At 43.7% G+C, this 13196-nt stretch overlaps 1 protein-coding gene across 1 annotated transcript in view; it reads left to right on the forward strand.

Moving 5' to 3' along the window:
• The window catches only part of RGS6 (regulator of G protein signaling 6), a 762695-nt gene that overhangs the window by 36042 nt on the left and 713457 nt on the right, over nt 1–13196 (forward strand). The window contains exon 3 of the mRNA XM_024449761.2: nt 4789–5058. The gene's annotated coding sequence lies outside the window, so the exon portion shown is untranslated. The remainder of the gene's footprint in view (nt 1–4788; nt 5059–13196) is intronic.

Raw genomic sequence — 13196 nt, forward strand, 5'->3', positions numbered from 1 at the left:
TTGAGGTCAGCCTGTTCTTCAACCCACATTTTGAAAGGTTGGGTTCCTTATTAGTGAGGCTCTGGATAAAGGTCATGGGAATTAACAGATTTTACTGCTAGTGTCTCATATCCAGTTTGCTGGGTTCAGAAAGAAGGTGGGTTTCCCACTTGAATGAGGGTGGTTCTTGAGAGAGAGGTCCTGGGGTTAGTCAGACAGTCATACCTTGAGGTAACGAGCCTGAATGGGACTGAGTGGGACGAAGAGACAGAGTAGAGGGTGGGAGGCCTGGAGCTGGAGCAACAAATTCGAGGAGGAATAGAGTTCACATGCATGCTTCTCTTGGGAGCCTTATTACCATTAGCATGATGGTATGACTTCTAAATATAGTGAGACTGTCATTGCCAATGCATATATCATATACTAAATCTTAAAATAAAGCTTTCATTTGTCCTTAGAAAAATTAGGTAAGAAAAGGAAATAGAAATTCTACTGTTGTCTCCAAGTACCTTCTTTTGGACATCCCACTTTGGAGACTACCTGTTTACACATGAATAAACGAGATAAACACAGTCTCTGCCCTCTTGGGGGTTATAATCCACTGGGGAATACGAACAACAAAACAGGACATTTCAATAATATCATATCTATATGTAAATATAGAACCCCATGCTTATTAAAACAAGTGAATACTAACTGATAGAAACATTTTTGTATAATTAAATGCACAAGAAGAATAATTGTCAGCCATCGTAGTGGACAATTGTGGCTTCTGCTATCCAGCGTCTATTTCCTCTTTTTCTGGGAAGAGCATCCTGATTTTTTTCTCAGGAAAACATCTCCCCTTCCCCACTGTGCTTTGAATAAATGGAGTTTGGTTTTCCCTTTGCCTCCTCCCTCCCCCAAAATCTAAGGGTGGGAAGAAGATACAGATCTCAGCAAAACTGTATTTTCACCCCTGACACAGGGATTGATTTAGAAGTGGTCCTGAGACCCAAGTTACTCCAATTAGAGGTAGCCCTGGCTTTTTTCTTCCCCCTAGAATAATCAGGAAAGGGGAGTTCTCTTTTCTACAGACTTGGAATCAAATAGGAAAAAGTGGAACTTCAGAAAGATACCTTCCCCACAAGGGGAGAGCCTGTGGAAAAAGAACTAATACAGAGGAAATATAACACTTAAGAAGCAAAGATAGATTGAGTTTAAATGATGTTGTTTGGGCCTCTGAGTTCCATGGAGACCAGCTCTACTGCTATACTTTCCATTTCCATGGGCCAAGAGATTCTTGATAATTTTTGCATAAGTCAGAGTTGGGTTTTCTCTCACTTTGCAACCAAAATTTGGTGCCTCATTTACTACTTTGCAGTTATTTCTGATGACTGCTAAGCTTACCTTGGTCTTGTCTAATGTTTGCATGGAACTCAACCTTCTAATAACCCGAATATTTCTTGAATTTATACTTTTCCTGATATTTGGCTTTTCCTGATATTTGGCTTTTACCCCTGGGCTTTTAACAACGATAGTGCATACTGGACTCCATTATCTTTTTTTTTTCTACTGTGATTTAACTTTCCTAGCATAGTTTTTCCTCAGGCAACTTTGAAATCACATGAAATGCTCATAGAAAGTGCCGATTCCTGGGCCACATACCACAAGGGTCTGACAGTCTGCATTTTAATAACACTCTTAGCTGGTTCTGTTATGCACGAAAATTTGAAAATCAGAGTCCTAGCACTAGATCCTCATCTGGGATTGCTTTCTGCTGTTCCTCAAGAGACCTGAAGTCACTCTCTGCCCTTGATCAGTTTCTTTTTCCATCCATGGACAGCAGATGAATGAGAAACAATAAAGAGAGCTACACGGACTTCTCATTGGTCACGTGACCCTTAGCTTTCCCATTCATTCACTTAGCTGGAAAAAATTTCCCAGATGAACGACCTTAAACCTCAGCTCTTTGCCCTTTGAAAATCTGAACTTAAATTTTCCAAGTAAGTGCATTGCATGTTGTTTTGTCTTTTTTTGCAGCTATAGTTTTTGAAAGGGACATAGAATTACTAAAAGCCCAATTCAGAAACTGAAAATGTATACTTAAACAGAACATTGCAAGATATTTAAACATTTTCCTTCTTCTCTCTGTTTCTTTTCTCTTTTTTTTTGAGACAGAGTCTCACTCTGTCACTCAGGCTGGAGTGCAGTGGCGCAATCTGGGCTCACTGCAACCTCCACCTCCTGGGTTCAAGCAATTCTGTGCCTCAGCCTCCTGAGTAGCTGGGATTACAGGCACATGCCACGCTGACCGGATAATTTTTGTATTTTTAGTAGAGACAGGGTTTCACCATGTTGCCCAGGCTGGTCTCGAACTCCTGAGCTCAGGGAGTCTGCCTGCCTTGGCCTCCCAAAGTGCTAGGATACAGGCATGAGCTACTGTGTCTGGCCTCTGTTTCTGTGAAAGGCAGGAGAGGCTTGAAGCTGCCTACCCCTTTCTGTAAGATGAGCCCATTTATCTTGTAGGCTTGTGTGGCAGCACCACATCTGGGTCTTTAAACAAAGATATCAAAGGATTTCCTCAAATTTGACAGGCTTGTTGATAATTGTGATACACGAGGCCGAAGGAAAAGTTATGGGATAGGCACAGAAGCCAACTTTGAGCTATAAGACTTTCCCATGACCTGTGCCCCCAAAATAGTAGCTCCCTGCTGGCAACCATCTGAAGTCTCGATCTGACCCTGCCGCAAAACATTTGGCATGTGGAAGCTGGCCCAGCTGTCACAGAGCAAGGAGATAAATACATTTCCCAGTGTTTATAGATCTCTGCGTATCCTCGCAGTAATTGCTGTTTTAAAACACCCGATAAAATTCAGGAATGTGCCAATAATAACTCTCTCAACACAGGCTGGGCTGGATTTCCAAAGCACCAGCTGCTGAATGCTGTCCCTCTAGAAAAGGTGGGCAGGGTGCTGTCTGCACAGTTGGGGGCTCTGTTCACCTCCTGGCTCCAGATCCACCTTACCCCAAACCAAAGGACTGGTCTGATCTACTTTAGGTCAGGGGAACGGGGCAGACTGGGTGAGGAAGTGTCACAGCTCACCCTCTCTCTTAGCTTTCCTTAACCAACCTCCCTTTGCCTAGGAGGGCCCGTTGCTGGTCTCACTCTGCCCTTCCTCTTCCTCAGACTGATTCTTAAAGCTTCACACAAAAACCTTTGAGTCTCTTCCCTTGACACCATTCATTCTCCCCTTGCCCTTCCTTCCCTAAATCTCCTCCATGATACAGGAGAGTGCCCAAGACTTCATCTGGACTGAAATGTTAAAATATATGTCATTTAACTTAATGAGGAAGGGTATATACAAGGTCTTCCATTTGAGTCAAGAAATTGAGAAGCAATATGGAGTTAATTTAGGCACTCGTGTCTCCAAAGATCAGGCAGAGGTCAGATCAGTTTATGCTGAAAAGCATAATACTAATGTATTCCCCACATTTCAGGGAGATTCAGGGAAAAACTCTCCCAATTTATTATATACAGGTATTTCCCACCAAAATGACTAAGGCAAGAACAGTAAGGGATGGGAAACAAGGACATTCACGGGGCCTAGACTGAGGTAGAGAAAATGCTGTACTTAGATGTGGAAATATTTTCCTTTCTCTTGGGAAGGACCTCTGTAAGAAAAGGGAGGCTTGGGTTCACACCAAACCAGGAGATTAATTCTATTTTCTTCAACAAATATTGAACATCCCATATGTGCCAGACATGGTATTGGATGTGGAGGATACAATGATGATGAAGCAGATGTGGTTCCTGCCCTCATGAGGCTACGGTCCAGAGGGGTAATTCTATTAATCAGTTAATCATTAAATAAATCTGCAATTGCAGCAGAGATAAGTGCTGCAAAGGAGAGGCTTTTGGGCTAGGAGAGCCAATATGGGAGAGAATTTGACTTTGTCTGCAGGGTCAGGATTGCTTTCCTGAAAAAGTGATTACTGGATTGAGATCTGAATGATGAGTAAGAATTAGGTAGATAAAAGAGGGGAAGACGGAACATGAGCTGAGGCCCTGTGGGGCTGGGGCGTAGAAGGAAGAAGTCACTGGTGTAAGGACCATGGGTTGGAGTAGGAAGAACCAAGGGGAGAGGGGCAAGGCTGTAGAAAGTGGAGAGGCAGGGCTGGAGAGGGTCTCGGGCACAGGTCAGGGAGGTCCTTGCTTGTAGACCATGTTAAGGATTTTAGTCTTTATCATAAAAGAAATGGGGAGCCATTGATCAGTGGTGGTGGGGGGATATGTTCAGATTTATGTGGGGAGATTGTTCTTAGTTACAGTATGAGGGCCGGGGTGGGAAAGGCAGATTCAAGGTGGGAAGAGCAGGCAGGAGGGTTTTGCAGTGGCCCATGCAAGAAATGATGGCAGCTTGGGACAAGTTGGTGGCAGTGATGGGAGGAGATTTAAGAGGTGAAATCAACAGGGATTGATGTTTGTGTTCGCCTTATCACCTGGAAGCTTCCTCTAGTGTATATCTGACAGGAGCCTAAAGGTAGCATACCCATTGGTGCACAGGAGAGCAGATCAAAGCTAAATCACATTTATCTGAACAAATAGCACGGGTACTGGATCCTAAGGAACATTTTCCATCTCTTCTGAATCTTCAGGATGAGCAGGCACTGAAAATGAAGCACAAGTGAAGGAAGCAGGCACCCAGGTTATTTTTAGCAAACTATAGGAAATAGCCGACATTCTAATTTGAATCCTTCTCATTAAAACCCAGAGCCGATCCTCACACAGTTCTTGCTTCTAATGTCTGCAAACTTCTCTTTTTCCAGATAATTGACAATAGGCTCCCATGGAAGTCTTCTGTGCATTTCTGCAAAAATTTAGGAAACATTAGGTTTGACACCATCATCATGTTTGCCAAGGCAGCAAAAATCCCAGCCGGCAAAGCTTCAAGTGTGATGAAGCGGAACAGCAAGGACAGCACGGAATGACTGATCATTTCAGAATGCCGTCTAGCGAGAGTTTCCAATGTGGGAGTTTTCCATTGTTTTGAAGCAGGAGAAATAGGGACCGGCTGCTTTGGAAGAAACATGCTGTAGGTAGGATTTCCTCTTCTTTCTTTTCTACCTGACTTTCTGCTCTCAAGTGGTTCTTTGAAGATAAAATTATTTTGTAATACTTTCATTTAATAACAACAAAACTTTTTTATATTCAGTAAGTTGAAAGTGTATAGAACAGTCAGTGTCTGATTTATTACTATTACTGATGTTCAGGGCACAATGAGGCCACAGGAGGGGTAGTGTCAATTCTATTGGAGAATCAGGCAAAGCTTCCTAGGGATGTACCCTTGGAGCTGAGTCTTGACTTATACGCAAGGATTAGTTGGGTAAATGGGCAGCATAGGAGGGAATGCCCTTCTAGGGAGAATAAACATGTTAGAGGAACCCCTGCCTACCACGCCTCTGGCTTAATAAAACATGACCTGAATGATTCCATCTTGAAGTGAGTAGCGAGGCACTCACAAGGCACTTATAAGGTTAATATTTATGGTCTGAAAATAACCACATTCTAAGCTGACCATCAATTATAATTACAGAATATTTATGGCCATACAGAACATCTCCCACCAAGTCTGCAGAATGTCCAGATGTCCTAAGAATACAGCTCACTTTACTTAAGTAAAGTGTTAATGAGTGTTAACGAGTTAATTACTGTTAATGAGTGGGCTTAGGTTGAAGGATTAATGGTCATCTATAACACCAATAGCCTCTACCTTTAAAGAGCACATCTGCATGTTCCAAGTCTAAATCTAGCCCCTTACAGTTTCTAGTAAGTAGAGTCACTAAGAAAGGATGGCGTGTTCCTCCTTCTGTTTTCTGAGGACGCCCTACTCTGTAATAGAGTAGTTTCCAATAAACTCAATTCTTTTACTGTGCTCTGTGACTTGCCTTGAATTCTTTTCTGCATGAGATCCAAGAACCTGCTCTTGGGGTCTGTATCGGGACCCTCTCTTCGGGCAACAGAGTTATGAAAGTATTTGCTATGTTCAGAAAACTGGATGCAATTTAGTAGAGGTGTAATATACAGTTTGCTCTATGTGTGTATGTGTGAGAGACAGACAGAGACAGAAACACATACACCTGCACAGAGAGAGAGAGAGAGAGAGAAATAAGGACAGAGGGTGTGGGGAGAGAAAAAGAGGGAGAGACAGAGAGGGAGAGAGAGAGAGAAATAAGGACATAGAGAGAGGGAAAGAGAGAGACAGAGGAGAGAAAGGAGAGAGAGGGGGGAAAGAGAGAGAGAGATTAAGATGGGACTCCAGTCTCTATTCAAGAAGGAGCTATTGAAGACTTTTAAGCAAAGGAGTGCTGTGTTCAGAGCTGCACTCCGAAAGCTCACTCAGGCACTGGGGAGAGGATAATTGGGTTGGGAGGGGATCCCAAACTACAGGCAAGGGAGACCGGTTAAAACACTTTTATAATGGTGAAGAAAACCAGAATATGTCACCCCAAAATGAGCCTCTTTGACATAAGTGTATTTGAGCTAAAGGCAATTAAAAAACAGCAAGCAGACCAGGTGCGGTGGCTCATGCCTGTAATGCTCCCACTTTGGGAGGCCGAGGTGGGCAGATTGCCTGAGCTCAGGAGTTTGAGACCAGCCTGGGCAACATGATGAAACACTATCTCTACTAAAATACAAAAATAATTAGCCAGGTGTGGTGGCACGCGCCTGGAATCCCAGCTACTTGGGAGGCTGAGGCAGGACAATTGCTTGAACCCAGGAGGCAGAGTTTGCAGTGAGCCAAGATTGTGCCGCTGCACTCCAGCCTAGGCAACAGAGCGAGACTCTGTCTTAAAACAAAAACAAAAACAAAACAAAACAAAACAAAACAAAAAAACAGCAAGCAGAGAAGAGCTCTCTCTGTGCTTCCCCTTTGCTTCCCAAAGACAGAATATAAATTCTCCTTTACTGGAGACAGCTCCAGGAAAGAAATCTACAAACGAGCCTTGCTCTGTTAGTTAATTTTCATCTGTTTACCTTCCCATAGTTTCCTACCTTTGAAAGCCTAAGACTGCTTCTCTTTGTCCTGTCATTTCTCTACAGATTTATTGTTTTTTGTTTAAGGTACTACATAAGCCAGTGTTCTAAGTCACTGCTTTGAGTCACCTTTCATTGAAGTTTCTCTGGCATTGCTGTGCATTACACACATTAATAAACTTGCTTATTTTTTGTTTCAGGGGTCTGCCCCTACTACGAACTTATGAGGGTTGAGGAGAAATTACGTTTTTCCCCCAGCAAGTGTTCAAATGAGAAATGGTGAGGACAGCAGCATTGGGTAAAGAGAGAGGGGCAGATTTGAGAGGTATCAAGAAGGAGGTGACTTCGTGGGTGGTGAGGAATGAGAGAGTGTGGGATGTTTAGGAAGATGCCCAAATTTCCAGCTTGGGTGATGGGGTAATGGTGCTATTCTCAGAGTGGAAACTCAAGAGGAAGGATGCAATTTGGGAAAACATGAGATCCCTTTGGAACTAAATTCCTTGAGGTCTGCGTGGACAGTGACAGGGTGTGGATCAATGACACCTGAGTTTTTTTCCCAGCTCTGTTGGTATGATTTTATTTGACTTCCCTCTCTGAGTCTTGTCCTTTTTTCCATAAGGTATATTATTGCCTTTCTTGGCTTGATTTCTGATCTCATAGAGATCTGTGAAAGTGCTTTGTAAATGTCCTCACAAATGTAAATATTTATGTTTACAGGGAAGTGAAGGTGTAAAAAGCAAAGTCAACAGTACATTTAACTTATTAATAGGCAGAGTATGTGCCTTATTTGCATTGTGACAGCATCAGGTGGAGATCTCGCTGCAAAATGGCCAATATCACTGCCTGTCTTCTGACCACAATGGCTTAATTCCTACGGGACTAGAGGGTAACAGTTTGCTACTCAACACCTCGATTCAAGAACCATCACACTTCTTTATTTTTTCTAAACCTTATTAAATTACTTCTTCATTCCCATTTGCCAGGATGGGCAAGACATCCATTTTTAGTCAAAATTGGGATTCCCACTGGGTCACACAAGTATTCTGTTTTTCATAGGGAAAATGAGCAGGGTTTGAAATACGGAGAAATATGTCAGAAATATTACACAGGCACCTCATCCTTGCGTGAACAGGGTAGACTAATTATCCTACCGTAGGCTTAGGCAAATCCTAACACCAGTGAATTCAGATGCAGGTCTTTGAGATTAATTGCCATTAGAACTGAGGGAAAGGTGAGCCTGGGGTACTGATTAATCTGTGCTAGTGTTTAACATCCACTCAGCAGCATTACCATCCAGACCAAAGACTCTACTTGTCAACTGAAGAATCATGAGGTTCATAAATTTGGAGTGAAGAGCTTTATTTCTTATAAAGGAATGCAGCCTGCTGGCTGGCCATCCCACAGGCTGGGAAGCATGGCCTCTGGTGGAAACCGAAAGCAGGCACTGGAGGAAGAGAAGGGTGAGACAGGAATTAATGCTGAACAGGTCGGCTAAGCATATATATTCAACAGATTATAGGAGGAGCTATGAATATTCATGAAGGGGGCATGCATGTGTAGAAGGCAACCATGCATGTTGCTTACGTCCCATATTCACTTTGGGGTGGAGACTTAACATCTAAACGCATTAAAATTAGGTTCTATCCATCAAAAGATGAAATGGAAGACACAAAGCATCCCGTAAGCAGCCTCTGTAAACCTGCCAGAACCAGTCCATGACCAGTGGTCTCTTATGTTAGTCTCTTATTAGAAAGAAATGCTGGTAGGTGTTATGTCAAAGTGGCAACGAGAGAAGGAAGTCTGGCAAGACTTTCAAAAGGGCTGGTTTTTGCTGAACTCTGAGGAAAGAGTCTAATCGTGATTAGCAAGGGCGAAGTATATAATGGGGCATATCCAATGTCCTGTCCTGTCCTGGCTGGGAACTCAATTTTTAAGGTTTGTCAGGGGTCCTTTTGACCAAGAGGGGGCCTGTTCAATTGGTTGGGCTTAGGATTTTATTTTTATTTCTCACACTAAAGGATCTATTTTTGGTGACCATCGTGTTCACAATTTGCTGTAGAATCTTATTACTTACAAATGAAGAGTGTTATAGTGTCACTAGGGTGGGGAGAGTCAAGATGGAAGGAAAACCCCAAAACTGAAGAAGGAGGAAGGGAGCTGGGGAGGATGGCTGATGGCTGAGTATATATGATGGAGCTCAGGTCTACTGAAAAGTATTGCTGAAACAACTACAACCGGGAAATTTCCCAAATGACCCAGATAGACCACCTGGTACCAGTTGACCAACACTCTCACCCCTTTCTCAGCCTTGTGGTCCCACCACTCCAACTGGACAGAGGACCAGTCTTCTAAACATTCTTTCCTGATAAATAGCTGCAGATCCCAAGCCACTTTGGGTCAGCTTATAGAGACTGCACACAAACTGTCTCTGGTTCTACAGTTCACTTTTTTATTTTTTTTTTATTTTTTGAGACTGGAGTCTTGCTCTGTCACCCAGGCTGGAGTGCAGAGGCATGATCTCGGCTCACTGCAAGCTCTGACTCCCGGGTTCATGCCATTCTCCTGCCTCAGCCTCCCGGGTAGCTGGGACTACAGGTGCCCACCACCACACCCGGCTAATTTTTTGTATGTTTTTAGTAGAGAGGGGGTTTCACTGTGTTAGCCAGGATGGTTTCGATACCCTGACCTCATGATCCACCTGTCTCGGCCTCCCAAAGTGCTGGGATTACAGGCGTGAGCCACCGCGCCTGGCCTACAGTTCACTTTTTTACATAAAGAGCCAGATTTCACTTCATTTTAATGCTAAAACCCCACCCTGAAGTGAACATTGAATGTATGTTACATATACATTTACCCACTACATATGCATCTGACTTCCCTCATGAACATCCATAGATATCCCCTAAACTTGCTCAATATGTGTAAGGCTGGCCCTGCAAGGCATATGTACTAGCTTCTCCCTCCCTTCTGCAGAGTCTGTACTTTCCATCTTCCCTGGAAGCTGCACTCCCCAGTCTGCGGATTGTTTCTCCTTCTGAAAATAAAGTTTTCTCCTTTCCTTCCTCTGTGGCTCTCACGGTCTTAGGTTAACAGAGGAAAGTGGGCTGGGGATTTGGCTAAGGGAACTGGCTCTCATGTCCAGTAGTCATTCGCCTCCCACATCCTCCTGCCTGGCAGAGCCAGCTCCATGAGAGAGGCTGGAAAGGCCATGTACTTGCTTGAAGAGAGGATGGACATGCAACCCACTCTGTTCTGGCCGATGAGACTTACGAAGGAAGTGAGCTGAGGAACTTGGAACAATTTTTTATTGCTGACAAAAGGAGACACATGCAAGAAGAAACTCCACACCTCTCTTCCTGCTCTTTGGTCATCTGAGGATCACAGATTTGGAGTCTAATTGGATACAGAGCCTAGAAGCACTTTCCTCCCTGCTTCTTGTTAAGCAAGACAAATAAATATCCTTATTGTTTAAAAGGCTTTTAGTCATGTATTCTGCAATTTGCAGCCAAAAGCTTCCTAATTGGTAATTAAAGTGGATTATCTAATTTACCTGCTAGAACTTAACTGTTAGAACTCATGGTCATCAAAATCCAGTGGAACTGTTAGGAAGCTTTCTGCTGCAAGGAATTCAAGATCCTGACTCCAACTGGCCCAGTACAGGGAAGTTTATTACGTGATCACAGGAAGCACAGTGTTAGGGCAGGCTTTGGGCATTACATGTGCCGTGCGCCCTGGCTTTGCTTCTCTGAGACTCTCCTGGTCCTCTCTCCCTGGAGGTGGGTTTTGTCCTTGGGCCAGCTGACTGCTAAGTTGTAGGCATCATACCCTAACAAGACGATGTCCAGTGGAAGAAGAGGCATTTTCTATTCCTGTATTTCTTTAGAGAAGTGAGGAAAACTTTTTTGGCCATGGTTCATTTCTTGTTTGCTCCTGAAAAATCAATCTCTGGCAGTGGAAATGAGGTTGCTTTGGTTGTCCTGGGCTACATTTGGAGTAGAATAAATTTGGGGAACCTACACCAATGACCAACTCCAAGTTTCACTTTTCTTATCTTTCCTTTTCCTAGAGATTTTTCATGGACCCTGGTGAGCTTGTTTTCTACCCAGAATCTCTTTAAGAACTAACGGATCTTAATTCTTTCTCATCTCCAGCTTGCCTTTAAGTCTTAACTCATTCGGGTCCCTCCTTGCTGATGAGTATTTCATTTACCAGTAATTCATGATTTACCAGTCGGTTTCCTGTAAAAGAATCAGGCCCCTTTTATTTTGGGTACGGAGTTTCACTCTTGTTGCCCAGGCTGGCAACATTCCTCCCCCGACCCCCAATGTACAAGTAGTGTTTTTTAAAAAAACACTGTGGTACCAACTTCTTTACGGGACAAAAATATAGACATGCACACTATTGTTTTTGTACCTAAAAATGCTTTACTTCTATTTGTTCTTCTGCTTGAGCTTATTTTTGTGCTCACAAAGAAAACAGGCACCACTCCCTTAAGAGTAGATATCTGTAGATTTTTAAATTGATACAGAGTGACATAAGAAATGAATGTGATGAACAGATGTGACGTTCATCTGGAGAAGACTTCAAGATTCAACTCGGGGTGGTGGCTCACACTTGTAATCCCAGCACTTTGGGAGGCCGAGGCAGACAGATCACTTGAGGTCAGGAGTTTGAGACAAGCCTGGCCAACATGGTGAAACCCCGTGTCTAGTAAACATAACAAAAAAAAAAAAAATTAGCCGGGCATGGTGGCGTGTGCCTGTAGTCCCAGCTACTCAGGAGGCTGAGGCAGGAGAATCGCTTGAACCGGGAGGCAGAGGTTGCAGTGAGGCGAGATCGTGCCGCTGCACTCCAACCTGGGCGACAGAGTGAGACTCCTTGTCAAAAAAAAAAAAGAAAAAGTTCAACTTGGAGGAGAGTAAGTAGAGAACAGAAAGTTGTCTGTCAGGTAAACCTTTCCCCATTTGATGGGAGCCCCACCCTTTCCATTATCCCCCACAGCTCCTTCACCTGTCTTCCTGTGTAGCAGACGAATTTTGTGTCTTGTTTCTGCTGCTTGTAGTCAGAGAGATGCCTGTGAGTTCCCTGGGTGGATTTCGAGGCTGCAATAGCAATTCTGGCCATTGTTGTATGACTACCCAGCATCCCATTCATCCCTCCCTCCATCCCAGCAGGACCCAGTAGGGCCTAGTGTCCACTCCACTTTGTATAGCCTATGTCAGTTATGGGAGACTCTCCTCCCACCCCTAGCTTCAGGATAGGATTGTTTAAGTCAATCAGCATGTTCATTTGTGCTGAAGTGATTGGTTCAGTGTAGGTTTGTGTTATGGGCTGAATTTTGGGTCTCCCGTGCTCCCTGCAAATTCATAAATTGAAGCTTGAACCCCTAGTACCTCAGAATGTGACTGTGTTTGGAGAGAGGGCCTTTAAAGAGGGAATTAAGTTAGAATGACGTTGTTAGGATGGGCCTTAATCCACTTTGACTGGTGTCCTTATAAGCAGAGGAAATGTGGACACAGAGAAACACCAGGGATGCTCACACGCAGAGGACAGACCACGGGAAGGCACAGCAAGAATGTGGCCGTCTGCAAGCCAAGGAGAGAAGCCTCAAGAGAAACCAACCTGCCCTTGATCTTGGACCTCCACCCTCCAGAACTGTAAGAAATAAGTGTTATTTAAACCACACAGTCTGTTGTATTTTCTCATGGCAGTCCTAGCAGACTAGCCCAGCATGTGACCAAAATGGTCTAATCAGGATTCTTTTAGCTGCTGTAGCAGACATGTCCCCTCTGCTTTTGTGGTTTGTAGATGTGGAGCTGGGTGCTGCTTATGACTTGGAAGGCAAAATAGATTGAAAACAAAACAAAAAAGTAGATGGAAAGAGCTGAATCAAACTGGGCCTGGACCTGGCTGGACCTTCCAGCTACTCGGGCCACGAAATCTCTTTAATGTTGATTAAGTTTTCACTAGCAGCAATCTAAAGGCCCCCACTGATGAAATGGCTTATGCTTTGTGTTTACAGGCTGAGGAAGAAGATGCCCTCAAGAAATTTTGGTAAATAGGTCTCTGTGCTTTATAAATCCAGGTTCTTCAAGGGAAATACGTTTTTTTGACCAAGAAAGGGAGGGAAATGAATCCTCTGTGCTTTGAGGATTGAAAAGAAAATTAGCCTGATTTCAAGCATGAATTTGCAGTGTGG

Source organism: Homo sapiens, chromosome 14, assembly GCF_000001405.40.
Source record: "Homo sapiens chromosome 14, GRCh38.p14 Primary Assembly".
Classification (NCBI taxonomy): domain Eukaryota; kingdom Metazoa; phylum Chordata; class Mammalia; order Primates; family Hominidae; genus Homo; species Homo sapiens.